This window comes from Homo sapiens, chromosome 1, assembly GCF_000001405.40.
Source record: "Homo sapiens chromosome 1, GRCh38.p14 Primary Assembly".
In the NCBI taxonomy this organism is placed as follows: Eukaryota; Metazoa; Chordata; class Mammalia; order Primates; family Hominidae; genus Homo; species Homo sapiens.
In genome coordinates, this window is record NC_000001.11 from 177,941,166 (window position 1) to 177,968,347 (window position 27,182).

Sequence of the window (27,182 nt, forward strand, 5' to 3'; positions counted from 1 at the left end):
AGGATTTATTCCATAAACAAGTTTTAGTTACTGAAACTTTTCTAATAATTCATTCTGGATCCCTGAGCTCCTTGCAACCATCAACCTGTTGGCAGAAACTTCAGGGTATGGGGAGGCTCACCACCACAAATTTTATACGTTAAAGAAGCCAGCACTTGGGCCTCATCTATGGCAAAGCAAAAATTTAAGGGTAGGCTGCTTTTTTACTCTCTAGCTAATGGATTTTTCTTCAATTAATTGAAACAACTATTTGCTTGATTGTTGTTTTCTTTCCTAGGAACTAAAGGTTGATATGTTTTTGTTTTCTATTTTAAATGTACCTCACATGTGACAAAATATTCCATGCATTTAAAAGCATTTTAATAAGGATCATTTACTCTTTTAATCACTAAAATATATTTTCTAAGCCCAGCTTTTATAATTAGAATGGTTCACCGTAGCATGTAGTTTTACTGTACCAGAAAAGCAGATGCAAGAATGAATTTCTTGAGTAACACACACATGGTTTCCAGTCTCCAATCCCACCACCACCCGCCCAGAGAAGATCCTTCTTTGTGTAGTGTTGGGCCTCTGCTTATCGCATCTGGGCATGCATACATGGTCAAAGATGGCCGTGGGCTCCAATTTTATGGCATGTTCAAAGAAGATGAAATGTAGAGTCTAAGCTGCTCTACGATGGCTTTCTCTGAATAGTGAAGATAAAACAACTGCACAGAACCCTTTGAGAGGCTCACCTTGATGAGTTCCACTAATAGCACAGGGTGACTGCTCTCTCCCTGGCTCAAGACAGCTGCACCAATGGCTTCGCAGTAATGCAAAGCCTGGGACACGAGGCCATAATCTGCCAGACGGGAAGCATAAAGGAGCTTATACACCTGTGAAGAGAAAAGAGTCAGTGACTAGTCCATCCAGGCAGGGAGAGAAGGAGAAAGAAACATAGATAAGACTTCTTGGAAGTCAGCTGTCAGTTTCCGCTAACTCTGGCATCCAAATACCAAGAGGCTTGTGCCATTTGGAGCATTTTATCTATGCACGGGCACAACTCCAAATCCAGCCTGCAGTTCCTGCATTACAGAGAAAAGAACAGGAGTCCCATCCGCTCAAACTTCCTAGGTCCTGGTCACCATGCAAAGTGCACTGGAGTCCTTATTTATTGGGTAGCCCCACATATCCAGAGAGTCTGATGTAGAGGCATAGCACCAGGCACAAGACGGACATTAAAAGAAGCAAAAATAGCCCAGGTGTGCTGGCTCATGCCTTGGGAGGCCGACGCAGGTGGATCACTTGAGGTCAGGAGTTTGAGACCAGCCTGGCCAACATGACAAAACTCCGTCTCTACTAAAAATACAAAAATTAGCTGGGCATGGTGGCATGCACCTGTAGTCCCAGCTACTCGGAAGGCTGAGACAGGAGAATTGCTTGAACCCAGGAGGCGGAGGTTCCAGTGAGCCGAGATCATGCCACTGCCCTCTAGCCTGGGCAACAGAGTGAGACTCTGTCTCAAAAAAAAAAAGAAGCAAAATTAGACCCTAGTGCAAAGGGCGTCAAGCTAATGGAGAGTACTGAGAAAAACAAGTAAGCGCTCGTGAAAGCATGAGTGGCAGGGCAGGATCAAGTGTGAGGGCTTTGGTATCAGACAGACCCAAGTTCAAATAAAAGCTCCATGCGAGGTGTGAAACATTGGGCTAGTTACCTCATCTCTCTGTGCCTCGGTTTCCTCTCTACAACATGGGAATACTACTACTACCTACTCCCTTGGTTGTTATGGAGATTAAATGAGATAATTCAGGTAAAGTACTGAGAACAAACCGCATGCAAGAGATGAGGGCCGATAGCATGTTACCCTTCCGGGCCTCCGTTTTCTCTTTCGTAAAAGGAAGTTAATCATGCCTACCTCACAGGATTCGAAACAATACACAAGAAGAGTAATGCCACAATGCCAGGCACGCAGAAGCTAATCTCATTACTATCAGCCCCAAGCAGCACCAAAATAACTGACAGGTGGGATGAATAAAGAAAGGAAAGAAAAAGAGACCAAAGAGCCGGTCGAGGAACTGCAAAGAGGAGCTCATGGGGCAAGGTTTTGCTGGAAAAGGTGAGTCTTTGGCAAAGCCCTTAAAAAAGAGAAGATGCTATAGGACAAATGCCTAATGCATGCAGGGCTTAAAACCTAGATGACAGGTTGATAGGTGCAGCAAACCACCATGGCATATGTATACCTATGTAACAAACCTGCACATTCAGCACATGCATCCCAGAACTTAAAGAAAAAGAGAAGAAGCTAATTGGGCCATTTCTCTATGACACAGGATTTCACTTTCAAGGCTTTGTGTTGTGTGTGCATGTTGTTGTAATTGTTGTTGTTGCTGCTGCTGTGTGTACCCTCGACACCAAGCACTGAAGGAGAAACAAGGAATCGCTGGAAAATGTCTCTACCTAAAGAAGATAACTAAGGTAGGAAGATAAGATACCTGTGCATAAAAGTCAAGAAAACACAAGGCAGCGTGAGCTCAGTGTCAGTGGGGGGCCCTGGATTCGGCTGTGGGAGCCACACTGTGCCTGCCATGACGTCAACGCCGAAAGCAGTTGCTGTGTGCCAGGCGCTGTTCTCGAGCATTAAGGAAACTAACTCGATTTCATGCCAGCTCCATTACAAGGCACCACTCTCATCCCATTTTACAGCTGAGACCACTGAAGGCTGCCATCTCAGTCATACTCGTAGGTGTGGCCCAGGTAGTCTGCATGGAGGAAGGGATGGTGCTGGACGTCAGAGCTCACAGAGGATTTAGACGGAGGAGGACACGATGTCAGCACTGGTCTTTACGAATGTAAGGTGACAACAGCATCATGTAGAAACGTTGAGAAGAGGGCGGAAACCACAGTATGGACACCACCCACACAGCTGATGCTCTGAGTGGGACGAAGAAGGGTGAGGGCGGAGGTAGAGGACAGAGGATTTCAAAAGAGGCCGGAGAAGGAGTGCGGAGCAGAGGGAGGGTGAGCAGACACTGGGCTGGGCCTGCGCTCCCACTCCCTCCCACAGGACAGCTGCGGAGGCTCAGAAGAAAGGGAGAGCTGTCTGGAGAGATGGGGAGAAGGAGCTGACAGCAGGAGTGAGGCACAGGCCGGGGCGGCAGGCAGGACGTTCAAACATCAGCAGTGAGGCAGGAGCCTCCAGCAGAGAGGCCTCTGCAAGGTTTTGCCTTCATATTATAAAATACAGACCTTTAGGGGACATAAAAAGAAATCCTACACCCTCCCACGCTTAAGCTAATGAGGAAAAGTTCAGTAGATAACTTAGCCCCAGGTACTAAGTGCCAAAAAGCAAAGCTGCAAATACAGCTGCCTGCAGCTGCCTGACAGTGACGGTGGTGGCCTCATCTGGGCTCAGTTACCTGGAAAGAAGGGATGAAGGATTTGGGGCGGCCCAGCATCTGACAGTACTCGAAGATTTCCGTCCTCTGGATTGCCTCAGTTGTTGCAAATTTCAAAAACTCTTGACTAAAACCAGAGAATAACAATAAAAGAGATTGAGGTGTGGGGGACGCAGGAGTTAAATCCTAGTGGCTCTCCAAACACCAGCTGCAGCCTTTCATGGGGGAGTTTCCATCCTGGGCTGATGCCTGCGGCGGCTTCAAGAGAAGAAGGAGACTCTGGGCTCCCAGAGTGAGTGTTTCACTTCCTCTCCCTCTCCCTCCTTGAGGCTGAGGAAGGAACAAAACAGAACTCTGCACCAGAGGCACTGGGAGGCGGAGGCTGCAGAAAAGGGGGGTCACCTGCCTTCTTGCTGAAGGGTAACTCAAGGCAGGCTACCTCGAAGGACACTGGGCCCTACTCTTAGACACACAGAGAGCTGGCCCCCATGCCCATAAAGCCTGTCATGTACCTGTGAAGGGCACCCCTAGTTTGAGCAAACTCGCACAAAAGAGGGGAGCCATGTAACACTCCGGGAGCACTGAGACCAAAAGGCATGGCAGAGCAGGTGAGGACTGCTGAGCCAGAAATCAAACACGGGTCCATACATTGGATGTTCATTCCACCAGTGAGGATGGGGACTGAGTGAATGTGATCTGGTTGGGGCAGGTGGTGGGCACAAGAGTCTCATGTGACCCAAAATTTCTCCCATCAACAACTTGCTATGGTGTTTAAAAACCACAATCACCAGGTTATTCCTGGGGGTAGGACTTTATTTCCAAGAATTTCCTCATTCAACATAAACCAACGTAAACATAGGAGGGGAGACATATTAGCCCATACACACTTATTGTACATTTGGCACAGAAGGGATTCTTTGACAAGCTAGCCATGTGCTATCAGAGACCAGGAACCTGGAAGGAACAGGCAATGAGCTGGGTACACTGCCTCAGTGGTAGGCAGTGTGGTGCAACAGTTAAAAGGGCTTTGCAGGCTGACTGCCTGGATTCCGAATCCAACTCACCCACACCCTCACTGTACCATCTGAGACAAGTTATTTCATCTCCCTGTGCCTTGGTTTTCCTCCTCCATAAGTGACGATTAAAATCTTTGCTTCACTTCACTTCTTCATAGGGTAAATGTGTAATAATTAAAGGAAATAGTGCAAAGAAAATGCCTGGCACAACGTAAGAGCTTAGTGACTCTTAACACGTATGGGGAGGGGGATAGAGAGATACAGAACAGGGAGGGCCTCTAGGGAGCAAATCGTTCTGTCCATGCATTCATTCACTGAGAGCTGATTGAGGGCCTCCTGCAGGAAAAGCCTAATGCTATGGCCAACAGAGAATGTCACCAGTGGGACTCTAAGTAGCTTGTGCACCAAGTCATTGTAGGGATGCTAGGGCCCCAAAGAGGGACTAAACATAAACTTCTTCCATTTTCCAGTTTTGCCTGGGTAGGCTCTCAGAACAGGCCCAGGGCTGCCTAACACGGACCCACAAGCCTCCACATGTAAAATGTTGTTTTTTTAAAGGAACAAAGTTAGCTTGTGGAGCCAGGGTGCCACCCAGTGGCCAAAGGGCACAATACCACACAAAGGCATCAGCCCACCTCTTTGCAGAGGAGGACCTGTGGCCTGAGGCCCCCGCCAATGCTGTAATGTGGGGCCCACGGGGCATCTCCTTGCACAGACCTGCACAGATAACAATCCCAAATAAGGGAGCCGGCGGTAGCTGAAATTCACATGAGAAAATGAAAAATGGATCCATAAAACCCAACAAGGGCTAAAACAGTCCCTTGGAAAATGTCCTTACTGTTTCCTTTCTCCCAGGTCGCATACCTGTGGCTGCTGCCCAGCAAGACCAGATGGTCTGTCTTCACGGTGTAGTGGCCAAAGGGCACGTGAGCCATGAGATAGCAGAAGTGAGCTGCCTCCACAAGCCCCTTCCCAGCTGCGGGAGGAAGAGAACAAGACCCAATCACGGAGCACACCCGTATGGGGAGCCATCATCTGGGTGGGATGGGAGACAGATGGAAGAGTGGCCTCGGGGGTCAGAGGGGAGAAGCCACATGGGACTAAATGAATGAGCCTTTCATAGCGTGAGTCACAGACCCCTAAACCCCACTCCTCCTCCCACAGCCCATTTGGCCTCAGACGTTACATTTCTCTTCAGCCAGAATAAGGCACAATTTCACGTTCTCCCTAAAGGACTTTTTACGAGGAATTCCCTAAACGTTTTAGTCTTTCCTCAGGGTGAAAAATGAGTTTGAAATGCCTGCACCTGAGCAAAGAAGGAGACTACTGAGAGTGGTCGTTCTTAAACTAGGCTTCCTGAGGCAGCATTGCTTTCCCTGCTGAAGTCAAACATAAAAATCATATTAATTACCAACATGTTTTGAAATGTTCTCCCATACATTTTCCACTGCCTCAAAATTGAGTTAATTCAGCTAGATACAATACCTAGCACAGTGCCTGGCCCCCAAGAAGGGCTCAACAAACATTAGTTCCCTTCCACTCAGGGTGCTGCATGGCCTCCATCTGACTTGGCACAACCTAACCCATAGCTATTAAAGTTTAACAGAGCAATATTTTAAAAAGCCTCATGGGAGCACCATGATTTCTGGATGCTCTGCTTCTTGGCTAAATTTGAGAACCACTGATCTGGAACACTCAATAGCCCCCTAAGCGTTTATAAGGCCACATTCACAGAGAGATGATAGCAAGAAAGACTACAGGGTTAACCCAGAGTGGTTCAGGCAAAAACAGAATTTCCTATCTGATTGAACTGGGTCACTGAGAAATTTACAGCAACAGGAGGCAAGGTGTCCTATGCGTTAACTCCATCCACAGGGGAATCTGACCCAGGGCTAGAAAATCAGCTGCTGAGAGGAGACTCCTACAGCAGCAGAACACCAAGTCTCAGGGGCCTGGCCTGCATTCACTCACGGCAGAAATTCTGTGAAACAGAGAGGCAAGAAGGACACGTGTTTCCCTGGAGTTTCTTTCCCCAAAACATGGAGGCTCCTGGGTCCAGGAAAAGCCTAGGGCATAGACTCTGGCCCTACCTAGAACCTGAGAATCTAAGGGCAGGATGTTTAAAGCTGACCTGGACGGGGAGGGGAGGTGAGGAGAGGGAGGGGAGGTGAGGAGAGGGACGGGGAGGGGAGGTGAGGAAAGGGACAGGGAGGGGAGGGGAGGGAAGGGACAGGGAGGGGAGCGGAGGGGAAATGCTGGTGTCGCTTACCCAGGGTGTCCCCAATGGCAACAATCGCACGCTGATACAGCTCTGGGTCCCCAGCCTGATTCGACAGAATCACAGCCAAGTGAGGCCTCCAGTCTCCCCACTGCTTTTCTCCACAACACTGAAAAGCACCAGAAAAAATAAATGTACAATCATTTAAGAATGGCCAGATGTACATAAAGAAGGCTGTTGTCTATTTCCTGGTTCAGAAGTGGTCAGAGAATGCCCACTCTACCACCTGCAATGCTGCCATTCATTGATTTAGAGCTCTCATCTTTAAAAAAGTAAAACTGTCAGAAGGACACAGATAGACAGATACGTGTACATGCATACATACATACATACATTCACAGGGATATTGGAAAATGGATAAATAAAATGACATTGCTCACTTACTATTTTTCACATTTCTCCCCAGTGCCTGACCCCCAGATAGCTAGAGACAAAACTCAGAAAAACCCTGAGGCTTCAGTGGGAGAAGGAAGATCAAACATCCTTGGCTTATGAGTAGAAGAGGCCACAGCCTGTCACAGAAGTCGGGGGAACACGGGCCTGCTTAATGTCTTACCAAATGCCTATGTTTTCTGGCTCTACAAAGCCCATTCACACACATCCTCTTAATCTTCACAGGAACCCTATGAAGTCTAGTTCCTACTGCCACTTTAAGAATAAGAAAATCAAGCCAAGTGGCCCAGCTAGGACGATGCAGAGGCAGCAGAATTCCACCAGGGGGCAAAAAAGAGTAAGCAGCGTGGTGGAAATGTACAAAGCCCCGCATCAATGGTGTTTTCCCCACAATCTCTCCCTAAGGCTGTCCTACTAAATAAAGGAGAATTTCAAGGCAGAAAATATCAATAAAGAAACAATATAATGTCATGGAAACAACACAGGCCCCAACTCGAGTCCTGCATCTTACTAGCTTACCTACCTTGAGCAAGTTTCTTAATGTCTCTGAACCTTTGTTTTCTCATCCCTAAAATGGAGATCGTAATTTCTACCTAACAGGTTATTGTTGATAATAAAATAAGATAGTTGTGTAAAGCACATCGCATGGTGCTTCACATTTGGTTTGCACTTAATCAATTACATGTAGGTATAAATACACACACACACACACACACACACACACAGTTGGAAGCTCAGCAGAGGAAAGAGGTGATTTGCATAGCCGCCTACCTTCCAATTTGTTATATAGATAGGTAGGGCAGAAGATTGCCAATAATAACTAAGATTTGGAGTTAAAACCATTCATAATTACTTGGTCTTTGTAATTATCCCAGGGAATAAAAGATGCTTTATTCAACTCCATTTTATACCCAGTCCTTGTTGATCTGGTCAATGCAGTGAGAAGAGGATGATAACAATAATGGTGATGATAAATCATAATAATAGCAGTTCTCATGTGTCACATCGAACCATGAACTATATCCTGTGCTAAGCATTTCTCCTACCAATAATCACATGTGCTAAGTCCTATTATGACCTGCATTTTAACATGTAAGCCAAACTGCTTCTTGCTGGATCTACAGAAACCAGCAAAAGGGAAGGAAATCCCTTGCTAAACACACACACACACACACACACACACACACACACACACACACACACAAAGAAAAACTTAGAGGTCATTATTCTGTCTCCTCGCTGGTGATTTGAAAAGATCACTATAAATCAGATCAATGGAGAGGCGGAGGGGACACAGTAGAGAGAGAGAGAGAGAGAGAAAGCACCAACATTTATTAATTAACGAAAATGGGCCAAGCATGATGGTTGATATGTTCAGATGTTCTCTCTCCCTTAATTTTCACAATAACTCTACTGGGCACCAAAATCCCCATAAAGATTAAAAACTGAGGCTCTGTGAAATTAAGACACAAAGCCAAGTTCCCCTGGCAGAAAGATGTACATAGAGTCCAGGTTAAACTTGTGTGAAACCCACGTCTGTGTTGTCCTGTTGCCATGCTTTTCCACCACCCCATTCATCACATGGAACTGAAGTCCAGCCTTTTAGTAGATGCTAAAGTGCTGGGAAACTCCCTAAGATCAAATACTGCATTGGCACATCACCTCTGGCTCCTCCGTTTTCTCATCTAAAAATAGGGGAAATTAAGCTAACTCTACTATTACAAAAAAAAAAAATGAACCATAGCTAATTGTATCATTTCCTGCATTTAGTACTTTGTGACATAATGCAATTCCATTCTGGAGCACAGGCCATTCCACTGAATTGTGAGGCACACTCTGTGCTACAAAATAGCCGGTTGATTTGATGATGGGGCATGAAAATCATTTCTCTTTTCTTGGAATTAGCCACAAGCCATAAGAAGGATAAAAAAAAAAAATGAAAAGTGTGAGGTCGATTTTTATTTAAACTAGTGTTCACCAAAAACCCAAGCCTCAAGATACGAGAAAAGGCTCCATTACCAAAAGTAATGGAGATTGGACAGACGTGCCTCCATGTCCCGGGAAGCCAAGAGGACACGAGGGAGAGGACCCCACAGCTCTCCCCACTGGCTGGAGAGCAGCAAAGGCAACTCAGGCTCACATGGAAAACTGGGTCCTGCAGAAAATGTCGGATGGCCTGGAATATGGCCTGGCCCATCCTCTGCACAAACCTAATATAAATAACTGGAAATAAAAATCCAGGGAAGAGTCAACTCCTTTAAAGTTATGTAATATGAGAAAACAAGCACAGAATGTATACAAATACACCCTAAGACAGAAAGAGGAAGGTAACATGAAAAATAGAGAGGAGAGAGAACATTCACTACAAAAATGTTACCACAAAACAAATGAAAAATTATCACCAAACATTTTGTCATGAATTTAAGTAAAATAATGAAGCAATTGCATCTATGAAGCAAGAGCATAATCTGAGTTACTAGAGCTCAGGAAATAGATGGTAGATAACAGGAAATGAATGTAATGTTCAGAGCTCAGGAAAAAAGTAGGGGGAAATTGAAGAAATAAAGACAGAAACAAAAGAGCACAAAAGTAAGAGACACCAGTGAAAACACAGTAAAGGACAGAGGAAGGAAAAAAGAAAGGAGGGAAGGAAGGAAGGAGGAAGGAAGGAAAGAAGGAAGGAAGGAAGAAAAGGAGGATGTAAAGGAGGGAGGGAGGGAAGGAGGGAAGGAAAGAAGGAAGGAAGGGAGGGAGGGAGGGGAGGGGAGGGAGGACAGGGAGGGAGGATGTAAAGGAGGGAGGGAGGGAGGAAGGAAGGAAGGAAAGGAGGGCAAGAGAGGAAAAAAGAGAATAAAAAATTATTAAAGAGAAAATTATAGATATAATTCATACGTGTATATATATGAAATATGTGTACATGGAATTCCTGAAAAGGAAACCAAAATAATGGGAACAAAACAAATATTGAAGGATATAATCCAAGAAAATATCCCTGAACTCTAACATATGAATGTACATATTAAAAGGGCATGCTATATATACCCCAAGGAAAAAAATCGATCCAGACAGTCAACACCAGAGCATAATCTAGTAAAGTGACTGGACGTCAAAGGTAAGGAAGGAATACTTTGGGGCCAAAAGATCAAGTCTCCTATAATGGGAAAACTATCAAGCTAGCCTCAGACTCTCAGCCACATCAACTCTAGAAGATTGAAATCGAGTATGTCCAGCTTTGAAGTGCCAGTGTGCAGTGGTGGGAAACATTCCTCCAGAGAAAAGAAGGGCAGCCCTGCCAGGGGAAGCCTGCAGAACAGGCACAGGTCCTCTTGCCATTCACAGCAGAGCAGGCAGCTTTGACATTTTGGGAAGGCCAAGGTCTTCAGAGTCAGACAGACCTGGACAGATCCTGACCCCACTACTCACTATCTCTGATCTTGGGTCATCTTACACCTTTGGAGCTCAGTTTCCACATCTGCAAAGCAGAAAGAATGTTTCCTACCTCTATGCATTAAACCAAATAATATGCATCAAAGCACTTAGCACAGGGCCTGGCACATGGTGATTAACAAACCATTAATATTATCATCACTTTTGCTCCTGAAAGCCATCAGTGCACTCCTGAGCAGTCCCCGCCCCCTCAAGCCCTTGGGATGCCTGGGTGATAAAGGAATCCTGTCATAGGGGTACCGTGGCTGCCTGTGGAATCCTCCCCGACATGAGCTGGAAGAGGGTCTGCAGTGGGTCATTGAGCGCCAGCGTGCTGGTGAAGCTGCGGAGAGAAGGATAGTCAGCGAGGACCAAGCCCAGGGAACCTCTTTACCCATTGCCCACAAGGCTCAGGGCCTTGCATAATTCTATTAGATTTTGGCAGCTTCCTTAGGAACATGAGCATCGCTTTGCTTTCTGCTGTGCCTCTGTCACAGCCTCCTCTGGGGAGAGATGGCAGGATCCTCATTCTACCGCACACCCCAGCTAGATCTCATAGTTGAGGGTATTTTCTGCACCTTGGTCTTGATGGCCTAACTCTGGAATAACCATTTCTGTGGGCCTTCTTCCATCACTGAGATGACCCTCTGACATCTCAAAGGTCCCCTGGAGAGCCACAGCAGTTTATCTGGAAGCTCTTCTCCATCGGCACCCCCCTTCTCAGCCATCCCGATCTCCCACTCCCTGCAGCCCTCCTCCACGCCAAGCCCACAGCACTCAGTGCCGTTTTTCTGGCTCATCAAGAGCCTGGGTCTGTAGTGCTTTTGCTCACAAGCGCTAAATAGCCATTTTCAGTAACCAAAGAGGCGTGGAACAGGGGCCAGAAATGATCCTGCTGATGACAAACCATGGGATATGCTTAACAAGGATATAATAAGCTCTACGGCTGATTTGAGATTTAAGCTTACTCAGTGAGAGGTATTTTTCACAATTCACTGGGCTCCATCAAAAATCAATGGCCCAAGGCAAAAATCTGTAGCAGAGATGTATGCTACAATGTGGGGCTGTGGGACGTTCATTTTCAAAGCCCAAAGGAAAATCATCCTCAGAACACCGTCCTTTATTTAACAGCACCCTTGCCACAGGAGCTCCGAGCACGTATCACAATACAATTTCTGTGTTCCTCACCATTCCAGTCTCAGAGGATAATAAAGTGCACCGTGGTGTCACCAGTCTCCAGGAAGACTGAGGGGTGGAGTCGTCATGAGACTCAACTAGGCCATCATCCAGAATGGGCCCACCAGTGGTGCAGCCATTAGGCCCCCGGACTGAACTTAACATGGAAGTGTCATTTTTTTTTTTTTTTTTTTGAGACCGAGTTTTGCTCTTGTCACCCAGGCTGGAGTGCAACGATGTGATCTCTGCTCACTGCAACCTCCACCTCCCAGGTTCAAGCGATTCTCCTGCCTCAGCTTCCAGAGTAGCTGGGATTACAGGTGCCAGCCACCACACCTGGCTAATATTTGTATTTTTAGTAGAGACGGGGTTTCACCATGTTGGCCAAGCTGGTCTTGGACTCTTAACCTCAGGTGATCCACCCTCCTCAGCCACCCAAAATGCTGGCATTACAGGCATGAGCCACCACACCCAGTGGAAGTGTCATCTTCTAATTCAACCTCTACTCAACAGGATTAATGGCCAATTCAAATATTAGTTCAGCTGAGAGGATAGCTTCACAGCTTTAACCAGCACTAGAAGCTAAACACTTTGAGGTAGCATCTTTCTTGCTGTCTGACCCAAGTCTGCCCCTTAAAGGAGGGTCCCTCACCACCCCCACCACATTTGTCCCTGCCAACCTGTGGATGCTAGGCGGAGCCTGAAGGACTTATTCAGAAACCCTTCTCCATCCAGCACCCCTATACCCGCCACCTCCATTTGATCCTGGCTCTCTTTCACTCTGTTTCATCTCCTTATTCCAAACTCCTGGCTATGGATCCTTGCTTCCATCCCTAGCTCATTCTGGTTTGGGCATTTTTCCTGGTCCACGCTGGCACCCAGATCACAGTGTGCTGGCGTCATTTCTGACTAAGCATATCCCTTCAGTCTCAACACCTCCCACTGCCGCCAATGCAGACTTCTGGATCTCACTGCCAGTGCTAAAACTCCTTTTCCTACCACAGCTCACGACCCTGCTACCCCACACCCCCACCCTACTCTCAGTATCCAGAACCTCATCACAAGAATAAGCAGTAGACAACTGCTTACGTCAAAGACCCACAGTCCCAAGGCTCTAAGGAAGTGATCGCTACCCCTCATTACCAGAACTAGCTGGAACAGCCCCTCCCAAAGAAAGAAGGCTACTGCAATGTAAAAACCTACTTAATTTTTGGAAAGTCTCACTCTGGGCAATTGTACTAAAATTTTTTATCCAATTTAGCAGGTAGAAAGAATGTATCTGTGTCTAAAACAGAGAAATGCTATGTCCAGCTCAGAAAAGAGAACATGGAAAGATCCCTGGAGTGTGAGTCTCCTTAGCGCGTCTGACATTTCTCCACACCCTCATCCTCCACCTTTGGTGAGGAGGCCTCTCTGCCCCACTGGCCTCTTTTGTTAAGTCCTGACTCACCCACTCATGACCCAGCTGTAGGTCTGTGGGTCCATCTTGCTGGACAGGAACAAAGCATGGCCCCACAAGTGGTTCTTCATGGCCCACTCCAAGGCTTCCTGAAAACCAAAACATCACATTCAAGAGTGCCTTTCCCACCTTCCACTCACAAGTTCCTGTGCTTAGGTGCTGCTGCATCCTGAGCAGCAGAGGCTAGGCTTCCAGAAAACTCTTAGAGCCTCATATAAGAATGTGAACAGCCAGGAAGCAGACTGTAGCTAGCACAGTATTTTTCTCTAGGATGTCACCTTCACCAGCCTTCACTTTATCAAAATCCACTGTGCTATTCCATCATCTTCCCATCAGACATGGTTGCCAGTTAGCCTCATCTCTTTAGCAAAAGTTTCGTAGCACTTGAACATCATGACTACAGTAAATACCAATGTATAGTACACTTGAAAATCACTAAGAGAGGAGATTTTAAGTGTTCTCATTAGAAAAAACATGATAAATATGTGAGGTAACACATATGTTAACTAGCTCCATTTAGCCATTCCACAGTGTGTGTGTATATATACATATATATCATGTCGTATACCACAAATATATACAATTTTTGTCAATTAAAAAAATAAAAGCGTCATATACAAAAACAAGAAATTAAATATTTAAATGTAAAAATGAATCACAAAAGTACTTCAACTTCATTTTTATAAATTAATTTTGAAGTAGAAAAAGCCTTTCTAAATATGACCCCCAGAAACTTACAATTTTGCACAGAAAGCCCTAAAAACAAAAAGAGCTCCAACAAATCAATAAGTGAGGATCAAAGCCTCAATAGAAAAATGCAGAAAATCAATGACAAAAAAATTCACAGATTAAAAAATATTCAACTTCATTGAATGCATTTTGAATTGAATTGAATTGAATGTATTCATTTCAATAAGAGAAATGCAGGCCCGGTGCGGTGGCTCACACCTGTAATCCCTACACTTTGGGAGGTGGAGGGAGAGGATCACTTGAGCCCAGGAGTTTGAGACCAGCCCTGGCAACATAGCAAGACCCCATATCTACAAAAAAAATTTAAATTAGCTGATAATTTTTTCTTTTGAGACAGTGTCTCTCTGTTGCCCAGGTTGGAGTGCAGTGGCATGATCTCAGCTCACTGCAACCTCCACTTCCCAGGTTTAAGTGATTCTCATGCCTCAGCCTCCCAAGTAGCTGGGACTACAGGCCATGCCATCATGCCTGGCTAATTTTTGTATTTTTTGTAGAGACGGGGTTTCTCCATGTCACCCAGGCTGGTCTCAAAACTCCTGGCCTCAAGTGATCCGCCCACCTCCCAAAGTGCTGGGATTACAGGCGTGAGCCACCACGCCCAGCATTTTTTCACTTCTCAGATTGGCACCTATCAAAGAGTTTGAAACACACTGTGGTGAGAATGTATGAAAACAGGCACTCTTTTGCATTGCTGGTAGAGTGAATTGGCACAATCTCTAAAAGGCCATTTGTCAATATCTATCAAAATCATAAACTATATCCTTTGACCCAACACTTCTGCCTCTGGAAATTTATCTTACATATATTCTCTCACAGTGGGCAAAATGACAGTGATTATTCATTGCAACATTGTAATTGCAAAAGATTGGAAGTACTCTTAATGTCAAGCTATAGGGGGTTTAGTTAAATTAATTATAATTTATCAGTAGAAAACTATGCCAACATAAGAAATAATGAGAAAGGCATTTATATAGGCTATAGAGCAGAGGTCAGCAAAATATGGCCTAAAGGCCAAATCCAGCACACTGCCTATTTTGGTACTGGCCATAGCCTCAGAATAGTTATTACCTTTTTAAGTGATTGGAAAAAATTTTTTTTTAATTTCATTATGCATTATAATTATATGGTAACTCAAATTTCTATATCCAAAATGAAGTTTACTGAAACACGGCCACCTCCATTCATTTACATATTTTCTGTGGCTGCTTTCACACTATAAGGGCAGACCTGAGTAGTTGTAATAGAGACCCCATGGCTTGCAAAATGTAAAATGTTTACATTTTACATTTTTTACATCTGTCCAATTATAGAAAAAGTTCGGCAACTCTAATATAGAGTGTTTTCTGAGGTATTTTGTAAAATCAAAAAGGGAAGGTACAGAAATGGTATACAGCATGCTATTTTTTAGAAAAGAGAAAATAACAATATATGCATAAAATTTCTCTGGATATTTCTGAGAGGAAAACTGGGTGACTAGGGGGTGGGAGCATCATTTCCCAAGTATATCTTTTTTATATTTTAATTTTTGAATTAAATTGATTCAAATTGATTTTAATTATCTATCCAAATACTTAAATTTTTATGAATTTTGTAAAGCATAATCTCAACTTCAAAATTAAGCTAGAAATCAATCTTCATCTGTTTAAAGTACAGACAGTCCCTGCTTTATGAGTTTTTGACTTTACAATGCTGTGAAATCAATACACATTCGGTAGAAACTGTAATTCAAGTGCCCATACAACCATTCTGTTTTTCACTTTCAGTAGCATATTCAATAAATTATATGAGATATTTAGCACCTTATTATAAAACAGACTCTGGCTTAGATGATTTTGTGGGTTATGGTAAACATTCTGAGCACATTTGAGGTAGGCTAGGCTAAGTTATGATGTCGGGTTAGGTGTATCAAATGCATTTTTAACTTATGATATTTTCTATTTAATGATGGGTTTATTGGGATGTAAACATTGTAAGTCATGGAGCATCTATATTCAATATTGATAGGAAGCCTTAGATATAGCAGCAGGAGTATTTGTAAACAAACTTCCTGGAAATTAATTTGGTGTATATATAAAGAACCTTTTAAAAGTGCATGCCCTTTATATACCCAATAATTCCACTTCTAGGAATCTGCCCTAAAAAATTTAAAAGATCAGGCAAAGACTTATGTAACAAGATGTGTAAATGGTATAATTTATAGTGGTTGACAAAATTATAAATAGTCTAAATATTCAATAATAGTAGAATAGATAAATAAAATATGATACATTAATATGATGGAATATTGTATAACTATTTTTTAAATGGCGCTATTGGGGTATATATAATGCCATGAGGGTATTTTACCATATCATCTTAAGTTTAAAAAGAGAAATAAACAACTGTATATGCAATTTTATTTTCTTTTTAATATATATGCATGGGAAAATGCTGGAAGTAAATGTATCAAAATGTTAACAGGTATTATCTTTTTTATTTTTAATTTGTATGAGTACATAGTAGGTATATATATTTATGGAGTAAAAAATATGAGATATTTTGGTACAGGCATGCAATGTATAATAATCACATCCTGATAAATGGGGCATCCATCCCCTCAAGCCTTTATCCTTTGTGTTACAAACAACCCAATTATACTCTTTTAGTTATCTTTAAATGTACAATTAAGCTATTATGGACTATAGTTCCCCTTTTGTGCTATCAAATACTAAGTCTTATTCATTCTAACTTTTTTTTGCACCCATTAACCCACCCACCCTCCCTCCCACCCTCCCCTACTGCCCTTCCCAGCCTCTGATAACCATCCTTCTACTGTCTATCTCCATGAGTTCAATTGTTTTGATTTTTAGATCCCACAAATAAGTGAGAACATGTGATGTTTGTTTTTCTGTACCTGGCTTATTTCATTTAATAGTTCATTGTCTTTTAGTGGTAGAACTATGGGTGTTTTCATTTTCTTTGTTCTGTCTTTCCGAACTTCTTGCATCCTCCCTGAAATGAGTATATACTATTCACATAATTTGAGCAGCGGTGAGTGGTGGAGAGGGATGGTGATTGCTTTTTCAAAATAAGTATGGGGGAAGGGCATACTTGCCTTCTTCCTTCCATAGTAGAGCAGCCTAGTGAATTTCTCCACGATCTGCGCAGGTGTCTCCACACTGGGGGGGATCTCTCCCGTGAGCAGGTTCGGGGTCCCAGAGCTCAGCACTGGCCAGTCCTCATCGGTCAGGTTGATGAGGTTGGCCACAGGGGGCTGCCGCTTGTACTTCTCCAGCTTCTTGCAGTCTTGCATTAGCAGCTCAGCGATGTCAGACCCCACCATGGACTGTAAGGCAAAGAGGATCATCTGGGGAGAATCCTATGAGTCCTCAGGCTGGCAGCCCCAGCTGGAGAAGGAAGGCACCAGGGAGCCTGCCTTCTTCACATGGAAGCCAATTATGCAAACATAAGGCAGTCCTTTGTTAGATTGCTATATTTCAGACTTCAGCATCACTATCATGGTTATTTTCTGCCTGTCAGGAGCCATAAAGCTTACCAGAAACATTCACAATTTCACAGGTATATTATCTGGCTGGTGCAATAACCCAGAAACTGTACAATTTTCCCAGACCAAGGAAGAAGATCATCAGGGAAGATCTGCGTTAGCAAACTCGCATTGACATTTGAGCAATTTTTTCCCTTGGGGCAATTTGTGGCTTCTTTAATATTGCTTTTCATAATCATGTCATAAACATAATCTTATCTATCCCATGAAGACTTAAATTTCAGCCTGCACCTGCTCTCCCACCAGAACAGAACTTACCCCATTCTGGCGACAAAGGAGAACCAAGAGCTGCCACAGTAGAGCTGAGTCTCTGCTCCCCAGTGTCTCAGATTTGCAGCTCTGAGCTGCTTTCTGCTGGCAAAACGTCATAATATCCACCTTATGTACATCTTCCCTACATGGAAAAAATTTAGGGAGCAAAGAGTGAGCAGGCAGACACTTCCCTGTTTCGGACCCCAGGCTCCTCCTAAGTGTGCAAGTGCTGGCTGGGCTGTGATTGAGATAGAAATCTGACAAGCCAGGGCTAAGGTAATGAGTCTATAGCTATAGGATAGTTATTTTCTTATAGAACAAGAAGAAATTTCAGAGATTCTCTCATGCACCCCCTTTATAGATGAAGAAACAGAGGCTCAGAGACCTGAAGTCACTGCACAGGAAAGCAAGTAAAAGCAGACTTTGGAGTCAGACAACCCTGGATCTAAATCTGGCTCTGCCACTTCTCTGTTTAGACAAGTTTCTTACCTCCTCTGAGCCTCAGCTTTGTCCCCTAAAATAGGGACAGTAAAAGGACCTACCTCCATACAAAAAGGAATTAGAAAATTGTGTGGCATATATTAAGTGATCAATATGATTGGCATTATGATTTGCTCAAGATTATCCAATAACATCAAAGCCAAGTTAGGCTTAGTACCCCAGTGTTTGAATACCCAACTCGCTTTTTTGCCCCATATCTGTATACCTGTTTGTAAGAAAGAGATAACACTCATTTTTACTTGAGGGAACCGTCAAATGCCATTTGAGGAATACATTTATATAGTAGTGATGATACTTTCCATGTGCATAATCTGACTTGAGACTCATAGACAAGCCTCGGGTAGGGAGAGCAGGTGTTATACCATTTCTCAAGGGGAAAACTAAGGTTCAGAGAGGGCTAACTGACCTGTCCACCATGGTATTCCTAGTCAGTAAGACGCCTGAGCCTGAGACCCACGTGGGCTGTCATCCAGCAAGGACTCTCTCCTCAACAAAGATGCCCTGAGTTACATTTATCAGAAATATAACTAGACATTTAAAAGCAGTCCTAGTTCAGTACTGCAGAGGGCTCACTTGCACACTGTTCTGTAACTTGAACACTGCCGATCTTATTTACCTCTCCAGGAAAAAGCCACTGTTACAAGAATTGTTTCTGCTATGATCCACTTGTCAGTGACTTCCCAGGCGATGCTCCACTTTTCTACTAACATCTATCAAGCACACGGAATGCTAAAACTTCCAACCATGCAGCCTCTGCATAATGGAACTGGTTTTAGATTTCTAAACTGTCATGCTAATTTTTCTTTCTGTCCTTCAACTATTGAATGGCTTGTCAAAATGACTCAGGCCACATCTGGTTCTATCTTGCAGCACAGAGAATTCCACTCCAACAAGGACAGATATTTTTTTCCAAGGAAACCAAGAACAAATCTCCAAAATGCTGATCTGGGCAGGAAGATTTTCTAGGTTTCAAAAGCCCTTACTCAGCAGCTCTTACAGCACTATACCTAATCAAGGGTCCTGAGAAACTTCTCATCTCCTCTTGCTCTTCGGAATCATTAAGAATAACCTGGAATAAAACAATCAGATTTTGTGTTTAAGACTGTGGCCACCCTAGGCCCCTTTCAGTCAAGTCTAGTGTCAGACCCCAAGGCCGTGGGGCTAGGATATGGCTCAAGGCCTTGTGGAGAAAGCAGAAAGAAAAAAGTGAATTTTGTTGCTAAAGATGAGACATTGACATCTCAGGAAAAACACAACTGTAGCATCAATTCTTTCAGAGAAGAGCCCCACCCATTCCTGCACCCTCCTAATCCAGGGGGTACATGGCCCAGTTTCCCGCAAGAGCATCCCATTCCTGGAGATGCCCCGGCTCAGGCACAGGAAAGCAAGGTAAGCATGTTAGGAGTAGTTGGGTAAGCAGTGTGCCAGCATTCCAGGGACACTGGGTCTTCTTTACCTCCATGCTGTGCAGTTCAACAAGGGCTGCTTGCCCGTCAGTGGGAGAGCTGGGACCTACATGCACCAGCTGACCTCCTGGCCCGAAACTCACAGGAACATGAGGGATGTAGAACTTCATGGGTGCTTTGGGACCAGCTGAGGAGACATCTTCTGACCAACAGACACAGATGGACATTGTTAGCGTTACTTCCATCACTTTTCTTTAGTTTAGGAATATGCCACAGATGTATTTCTGCCCAAATTCTGCCTGAACCAAAATAAGATTCTGGGTGGGTTGTGTAATTAGAAGAAGCCCATGTTCCCTGCTCCAGTCAGATTTAAGCCTCTGAGAAGGTGTCAGAATACAATGCGTGGGCTTGATGATTCAGTCCAAATGATAATGCTCTCAGCCCAGACTCTCAGTGATGCTGAGAGGCCAAGGAGTCTCTGGCTTTCATGGCCTCTATACTCATGACAAAGTTCCTACATCCAGACAAAGCAATGAAGCTTTGCATCTTGCTTTTGCTTTTCCTAATTCTCTCTGGTCTTCCCTTTCTTAAAAGCACCACTGAGTGCCTCCTTTCCCAACTTGATAATGGATAGGGGCAGTGTTCCCTTCCAGGAATCAGCTATGATGCAATTACTATTACAAGCAAAAAGAGAGAAAATGGAACCAAAGTTGACCTCTCTGCCCAGGTGACCTACATAAGCAAATGAGGTGGACAATGATCCATCGTAAGGCTGACTTTCCCAGAGACTTGCCACCCAGCCCTTCCACATCAGATTCAATCAACTCTTCTGATCATTTTAGAACCCACCAGCCTGAACTGGACTCCAAGCTGCTGAAGCTGGGGGATCATCCCGCTCCGGGGCATCTCTGATGTACTGACTGAGCTCATAGCTGCTGGAGCTGAGACCAGACTCACGCTGCTGGAGAAGGTTGGACTCACTAGCCAATGATGGCTGAAAGTTAAAAACAAAAACACACAGGAAGAAGTTTCAGAGAGCTGGTCTTCTCAAGCGTTCCTTCAAAGAAACAAAATACATACGGTGAAAGTGGATGTGTTGAAAGGATAAAAAGAGATAATCAAGTTGATAGGCATTTGCCAAAGGATATATTATGACCCAATGGAAAGAGTGCAGGCCTTGGGGTCAGGGGCCCTTGAATTGAAATCTCAGCTTTGCCTTATACTCAGCTGCTGTGCCCCTGGACACGTGACTTAGGCTCTCTGAGCTCAGTGCTTTCATCTGTGATATAATCATATCTGCCCTATATACTTCAAGCAATTCATGTATTCATTCATAAACAATTTTCTTTTTTGAGACAGAGTCTCACTCTGTCACCAGGCTGGAGTGCAGTGGCATGATCTCGGCTCACTGCAACCTCCACCTCCTGGGTTCAAGCGATTCTTCTGCCTCAGCCTCCCAAGTAGCTAGGACTACAGGCACGCCACCACGCCCAGCTGATTTTTGTATTTTTAGTAGAGATGGGGTTTCACCATGTTGGCCAGGATGGTCTCAATCTCTTGACATTATGATCTGCCCACCTCAGCCTCCCAAAGTGCTGGGATTACAGGCGTGAGCCACCATGCCTGGCCCTCCTTCATTGACTGTTTAATGAGCACCTATTATGCTCCAGGTACTGTGCTTTCCCCTTGGATGCAGGTGTAAAGAAATTCATGGGGCCAGGTATGATGGCTCTCACCTGTAATCCCAGCACTTTGGGAGGCCAAAGCAGGAGGATCACTTGAGCCCACGAATTTGAGACCCCAAATTGCAACATAGCAAGACCCCATCTCTACAAAAAAACAAAACATAAAAAAATTTAGCTGGGCATGGTGGTGCACAACTATAGCCCCAGCTACTTGGGAGGCTGAGGTGGAAGGATCACCTGAGCCCAGGAGTTCAAGGCTGCAGTGAGCTATGATCATGCTGTTACACTCCAGCCTGGGTGACAGAGCAACACTCTGTCTCTAAATAAATAAATAAAGAAATTCATTGAATTTACATCTTGTGTGCATACAAGTAAAATAATGGATTCAAAAGCTCTTTGGGCCAAGCGCAGTGGCTCACACCTGTAATCCCAGCACTTTGGGAGGCCGACGCAGGAGGATCACCTGAGGTAAGGATTTCCAGACCAGCCTGGCCAACATGGTGAAACCCCATCTCTACTAAAAAATACAAAAATTAGCTGGGCATGGTGGTGCACACCTGTAGTCCCAGCTACTAGGAAGGCCGAGGCAGGAGGATCACTTGAACCAGGGAGGCGGAGGTTGCAGTGAGCCGAGATTGTGCCACAGCACTCCAGCCTGGGCAACACAGTGAGACTCTGTCTCAAAAAAATAAAATAAAATAAAAAGTAAAGCTCTTTGTACAGTGTAAGGTGCTGTACATATGTATGTGGCTGCTGTCATTGTATTGTTACTATTAGTCATAATAATATGTGCCCTACTCTATTAAGCACTAAGTATACAAAAGAAATTGACCTCATACAAACCTAATAAGGGAGACAAGATTAATACAAGACTTTCAAAATTACAACCCCATCTCTGGCCGAGCGTGGTGGCTCAGGCCTGTAATCCCAGCACTTTGGGAGGCCGAGGTGGGTGGATCACAAGGTCAGGAGTTCAAAACCAGCCTGGCCAACATGGTGAAACCCGGTCTCTACTAAAAATACAAAAATTAGCTGGGCATGGTGGCAGGCACCTGTAATCCCAGCTACTCGGGAGGCTGAGGCAGGAGATTCGCTTGAACCCAGGAGGTGAAGGTGGCAGTAAGCCGAGATTGCACCACTGCACTTCAGCCTGGGCAACAGAGTGAGACTCTGTCTCAAAAGAAAAGAACCCATCTCTGTAGTATATTTGCAAATTTTCCACAAATCTAAAATTATCCTAAAATAAAAAGTTTATTTTAAAAAAGATTTCCATTTTGTGGCCCAGCTGGCGCATACAATAAGATTTTTAGAGGAAAGGGATGAATGAAGAGTTAGAAAAGGTTTCAAGCCCTGCTTCTCAAACCTGAATTCAAAGATTCTAGCAATTTCCCACTTCCTGGATTAAACCAAATTGCTAGTCCCCTGGGGTCCCTAACACCTAACACCTGATGACAGCGTCCTCTCTTTCCCAGTATGTTGGAGTGAGCTAGGTGACATTTCTTGATCCTGTCAATTTGATAAAAATGCAAAGGAGTTCAGTTCAGGGCCTCGGATGCCTAAGACTGAGGCAGTAAGGAGGGAAAAAAGGAAGGCATGGGCGGAGGTTCTGCCAAGAGGGGAGGAATGGGTCCTCCAGACGGCTGGCCACTGGACATCCATCCCCAAGGGCCCTGTTCTGCCACTGCTGACAGTGTCAGCTGCGACACATGGCCACAGTCTCCAGCCCCCACGTCACTTTAGGTTACCTTATTTTTCTGGGCCTCAGCAAGCAGGCTCCCTGGAAACAGCTCCCCCGGCCACTCCTGTCCAGAGTTGGAAGCAGGGCTGTCTTTACAAGGGTTCCTACTGTTAGATCTGCAGCAAAATGACAGGAGCAGTGAGCGGGGTCCTGGGCAAGCCAGCAAGGCTGAGGCACTCTCCGCCGGAAGCTGACCTGCTCCAAAGCGTGGGCAGGTACCATGTCAGCCTGGGTGCCATAGGAGAAAGCATTTTCCTCCTACTCACCACCTCAATCTACTAATCCCAGAAAAACAGGAGTGCTGGAGTTCCACAGCTCAGTGGCTGGAAGTGGCCTCAGGCCCTGATGAGAAGGGTTGGTCTCTACAGCCTGACATTCTGGAATGACTTACATCAGAGTGTTTAGGTTGGTGAATTCCACAGCTGCAAGCACCAGGACAGATGCTTGAGCAAAACTCTCTTCCCTGTCTTGTCTTACCACAGGGAGATGGCCCATTCTCAGGGCTCAGGCGTAGGCTGAGGAAAAGCACCACAGCACCAGGTAAGTTCTCATGACCTAATCGTGAGAACTTTTGCTAGGCCATATCTGTTCTAAGGCCAACACAGAATTAAAGTCCTCTTTTAGGACAGACCTCAAGGAACCTCACAGGACTCAGACTCGCCCAGCTTTGGGAACAGACTGTCAGTGATAAGAACCTCCCTTCCCAGGGTCCATATTAACAGCTGGCCAGGCCCATCCTGGGATATTCCCATATCCCTGTGGCTACAACAAAGGTACATGGGCTTCTGGAGGTGAGATGGCAGCATCAGACGCCAGAAGATTTGCCCGACATAGTCTGAGTTTGACAACATCATGTCAAACTGGCCTCTCCTTTCACACTTACTGGAAGTGGGTCTCACTATTTGTTCCAAATGGACTGTGCTGGTTTTCATAATGATGTTCATCAAGGTACTTTTGCTCTCGGTAATCTTCGTGCCAGATATAAGGACTCCGTTGCCTTGGCACTGCACCCTCAGAGAAAACAAAATCAAGACAGGTCACTTCCTGTTTCTGAAAGTTCTTAGAAAGATATTAGTGAGCTGTGAGGAGCTCCTGGAGCACAGTAGATCTAAAAACATATTTTCCAAATTGAAAAAATAGATAGGTGAGAGCTAATAAAGAAAGTCCATAGGACGCCTCTCAGTCCCCTCTGAACTAGTTAGCATGGATCTATACAACCGCACAACGATGGGGATTGGTGTGTGTGTGTGTGTTCAATGTTGAAACAGATTTATCTTTCCTAGCAGTTCAGATGCTGCCATTAAGACACACCCTATACCTATTAGCATACGGTAGAACACTCATTTGGGTGCATATCTGCTGTCCTCAGGGTGAAGTGATACACTCTTACTATAGCCCAGCAGATGTCCTTAAGAACTGACTTCACTGTTACTTGGTCAAAGACTATATAATCTGGGCTATAAGGCAAAGTAGGAGAAAAAACATGGATGAAGTACAAACTACCCATAGTGCTAGTAACAGTACCATCATCTATGCATACAAAGGAAAACAACTCCTTTATATCTCTTCTCAGGACATCTAGGAGGAGTGTTTCTGCTATGGTCTCGTCTGGCCAAGAAAGGATGCCCAAGGTGAGGGTCTGAACATGGCTCCTTTGGTCTCTCCCCTGCCTCTCAGACCAGCTGCCCCATCCCCAAATCCCAGAGGCTTCTTGGAGACTTTTCCATACCTCTTTCTTCCTGCAGCCACTGTGGGTGTCCATGATAGTAATAACTTCCATAAGCATATTCCTCCCTCATTGTGGGAGACTGATAGCTCTGATATGAATTCTCATAACCTGGCCTAAAATATCACAAAGAAGACTGGTCAGTTGAGGACAAGGGTAGTAAAGAGAGAAACCAATGAAGAACTTGACAAACTAAACAGGTTCAGAGGACAGAGTTGTGACCCCAGCCTAGAATCTGCTTGAAAGCCACAGTTAATTCTAGATCCTGTAAACAGAATCAAAGCAGGAGTCAGGCCTTTGTTGCACAACAGGAGTAGAATTTTTATAGTACAATTTTTTTTACTTAAAACTCTTTTTCTAAAAACCTCTTTTTTATTTAAAACTCTTTTATTTTGTAGTAAAACTCTCACTCCCCAAACACATACATATTATCTTAGAAAACTCCATCCTGATATTATCTGAGAAAACCACTTCCTGAGATGACTGTGTTAAGTCTCCAATACACCACCGTAATTTCCATGCTTATCCCAGATGGAGTTGAGATTTAAAAGTCAAACTGGACTATGTTAAGTCTGATTACTTTTATTGCCTCTGTCCTGAACACGCCTCTCTTTGAGAATTCAACAATCCAAAAAGACTGGGGAGAGGAACATCATAATATTAATGTTTTTATCAATTAATAATTTTTTTTTTTGAGACAGAGCCTCACTCTGTCACCCAGGCTGGAGTGCAGTGGCGTGATCTTGGCTCACTGCAACCTCCATCTCCCGGGTTTAAGTGATTCTCCCGTCTCTACCCAGGTAGCTGGGATTACAGGCATGCACCACCGCGCCCAGCTAATTTTTTTGTTTTGTTTTGTATTTTTAGTAGAGGCGGGGTTTCACCATGTTGACCAGGCTGGTCTCGAACTCCCAACCTCAGATGATCTGCCTGCCTTGGCCTCCCAAAGTGCTGGGATTACAGGCGTGATCCAGGAGCCTGGCCCAATTAGCAATTCTTTAGTATTTCTTAGGGATAAATTTCTTTATAATAATTGTCATAATTTCAACCCTGAATCTGTAAGCAGGTAAATATCACCCCAACTGGAAAAGCTGAAGTAGAACATAGACGGCTTCCAACATTCCATGAAATATTAAGTCCAGTGCTTACAGACCAGGGAAGCAGGAATTCCAGATTCTCCAACCTGGATAGAATGACCTCACTGCAACCTCTTCCTTCCGAACTTGGAGCCTGCAGGTTTCTATCTGCTTTCCCTGAGGTCAATTTTTTTTAAGTTCCCATTCATTCAATACAGATTATTGGTATGCCTGTTCCATTCCGGGTACTGTCGTAGGCACTAGGACTCTTCTTGGTGCTGGTAGTGTCATGCTAATCCCAAGGTAGAGTGGTCCAATGACAACGAGGAACTCCTTATAGGGATCTCCAAGAAAAGCTTTTCCATAGTCTACATAAATGAACTTTTGCAATCCCAGAGCAAGAGGGTTCCATCTGCTGTCTTGAATTTCACCACTTTTTCTACCCTTGACACTGCCTCCCCAAGCCCCCATACCCAGTGGCATTTGTGATGGCTTCTTTAAGAAGCTCCACTAGGGGAAAAACAGGAGAGAAATACTATCTTCAGTCATCAAAAACAAATTTGGGAGAGGACAGGATTTAGCTAAAGCCACGTAGTAAGGTAGAGAAGGAAAAAGAAAAAAGGGGGAGAAAAATAAAAGGAAAAGGAAGAAGGAAAAGAACAACCTATTCATACGCATTTAGGAGAGTTGCATTCATTCCAAGCCCTAAAGCCATACCTTGAATACAACTGATTGCGATAACCACCTTCGTAATAGTCAACTCCAGACACAGGCTGATGCCAGTCCCCTGGCCTGGATGCATAATGGGGCTGCTGCTGATGGTCTGCCCTGGGCTCCTGCTGTGGCTGGGGGCTCCCACGGTTGTCTTGCCATTGGTGAAACCTCTCTCCATTGTGCCAAGAGTGAGGGACAGGCCGATGATGTCCATCTCTCCGAAACCCTCGGTCTGGATCCTTTGAGGGTGCTGTGGCCTTCCCTCGTGTCTGGGGCAGCCTCTGGGGAGCCCAAAGTTCCATCCTTGACTCTCTGAATTTGTCCTGGGTTTTGAGTAAGTTGTGCAGTTATTTTATCTTCCTGCAGACAAAAGAAAAAGGAAAAAATCATCACTTGAAGCCTATATCCAAACATAGTGGTTGATTAGGTTTTGTGAAAAGAGCAGCTATGGTCCTCGAAATATATCTAAAACAAACCATATGGTCACGGATACAGAGAAATCTGAGAAACAATCTCAGATACATGAAGCAAATAACAGACTAGACAATTATATTAATATTGCTTAAAAAATTAAAAAGTACATGTGGAACAACGACAGATGAGGGAGGCAAGGGAGACAGATAACAATAATAGGTACAGCTAAAAATGCTATCAAGGAATCCCAGTTG

The 27,182-nt window shown here is 44.5% G+C and overlaps 2 protein-coding genes across 8 annotated transcripts in view, besides 1 other annotated feature; both read right to left on the bottom strand.

The window, feature by feature from the left end:
* CRYZL2P-SEC16B (CRYZL2P-SEC16B readthrough) overlaps positions 1-27,182 on the bottom strand; it is a 109,189-nt gene that overhangs the window by 12,378 nt on the left and 69,629 nt on the right. For 2 of the 3 annotated variants that reach the window (NM_001356506.2, NM_001356505.2), the window contains 15 exons: positions 26,518-26,874; positions 24,728-24,840; positions 23,882-24,002; positions 23,006-23,114; positions 20,425-20,569; positions 19,626-19,774; positions 19,177-19,238; positions 17,675-17,810; positions 16,967-17,197; positions 13,114-13,211; positions 10,749-10,830; positions 6,660-6,777; positions 5,255-5,366; positions 3,396-3,501; positions 735-875 (listed from right to left, as the gene is read on the bottom strand). In NM_001356506.2, coding sequence (NP_001343435.1) covers positions 735-875; positions 3,396-3,501; positions 5,255-5,366; positions 6,660-6,777; positions 10,749-10,830; positions 13,114-13,211; positions 16,967-17,197; positions 17,675-17,810; positions 19,177-19,238; positions 19,626-19,774; positions 20,425-20,569; positions 23,006-23,114; positions 23,882-24,002; positions 24,728-24,840; positions 26,518-26,816 — 2,022 coding nt within the window. In that variant the 5' untranslated portion in view covers positions 26,817-26,874. Of the gene's footprint in view, positions 1-734; positions 876-3,395; positions 3,502-4,169; positions 5,367-6,659; positions 6,778-10,748; positions 10,831-13,113; positions 13,212-16,966; positions 17,198-17,674; positions 17,811-19,176; positions 19,239-19,625; positions 19,775-20,424; positions 20,570-23,005; positions 23,115-23,881; positions 24,010-24,727; positions 24,841-26,517; positions 26,875-27,182 lie in introns of those variants that run through there. The other variant, NR_151492.2, reaches the window with a different exon arrangement.
* Positions 1-27,182, bottom strand: part of SEC16B (SEC16 homolog B, endoplasmic reticulum export factor) — a 55,497-nt gene that overhangs the window by 12,378 nt on the left and 15,937 nt on the right. For 2 of the 5 annotated variants that reach the window (NM_001390835.1, NM_001390834.1), the window contains exons 2-16: positions 26,518-26,874; positions 24,728-24,840; positions 23,882-24,002; positions 23,006-23,114; positions 20,425-20,569; positions 19,626-19,777; positions 19,177-19,238; positions 17,675-17,810; positions 16,967-17,197; positions 13,114-13,211; positions 10,749-10,830; positions 6,660-6,777; positions 5,255-5,366; positions 3,396-3,501; positions 735-875 (exon numbers count right to left, since the gene is read on the bottom strand). In NM_001390835.1, coding sequence (NP_001377764.1) covers positions 735-875; positions 3,396-3,501; positions 5,255-5,366; positions 6,660-6,777; positions 10,749-10,830; positions 13,114-13,211; positions 16,967-17,197; positions 17,675-17,810; positions 19,177-19,238; positions 19,626-19,777; positions 20,425-20,569; positions 23,006-23,114; positions 23,882-24,002; positions 24,728-24,840; positions 26,518-26,816 — 2,025 coding nt within the window. In that variant the 5' untranslated portion in view covers positions 26,817-26,874. Of the gene's footprint in view, positions 1-734; positions 876-3,395; positions 3,502-4,169; positions 5,367-6,659; positions 6,778-10,748; positions 10,831-13,113; positions 13,212-16,966; positions 17,198-17,674; positions 17,811-19,176; positions 19,239-19,625; positions 19,778-20,424; positions 20,570-23,005; positions 23,115-23,881; positions 24,003-24,727; positions 24,841-26,517; positions 26,875-27,182 lie in introns of those variants that run through there. The other 3 variants (NM_001390833.1, NM_033127.4, NM_001356499.2) reach the window with 2 other exon arrangements.
* Positions 18,628-19,129: an enhancer, noted in NCBI's record as "OCT4-NANOG hESC enhancer chr1:177928928-177929429 (GRCh37/hg19 assembly coordinates)". NCBI's record gives its function as "activates a minimal SCP1, AML or CMV promoter by ChIP-STARR-seq in primed H9 embryonic stem cells {active_cell/tissue: H9 hESC(primed)}" and the evidence as "EXISTENCE:reporter gene assay evidence [ECO:0000049][PMID:30033119]".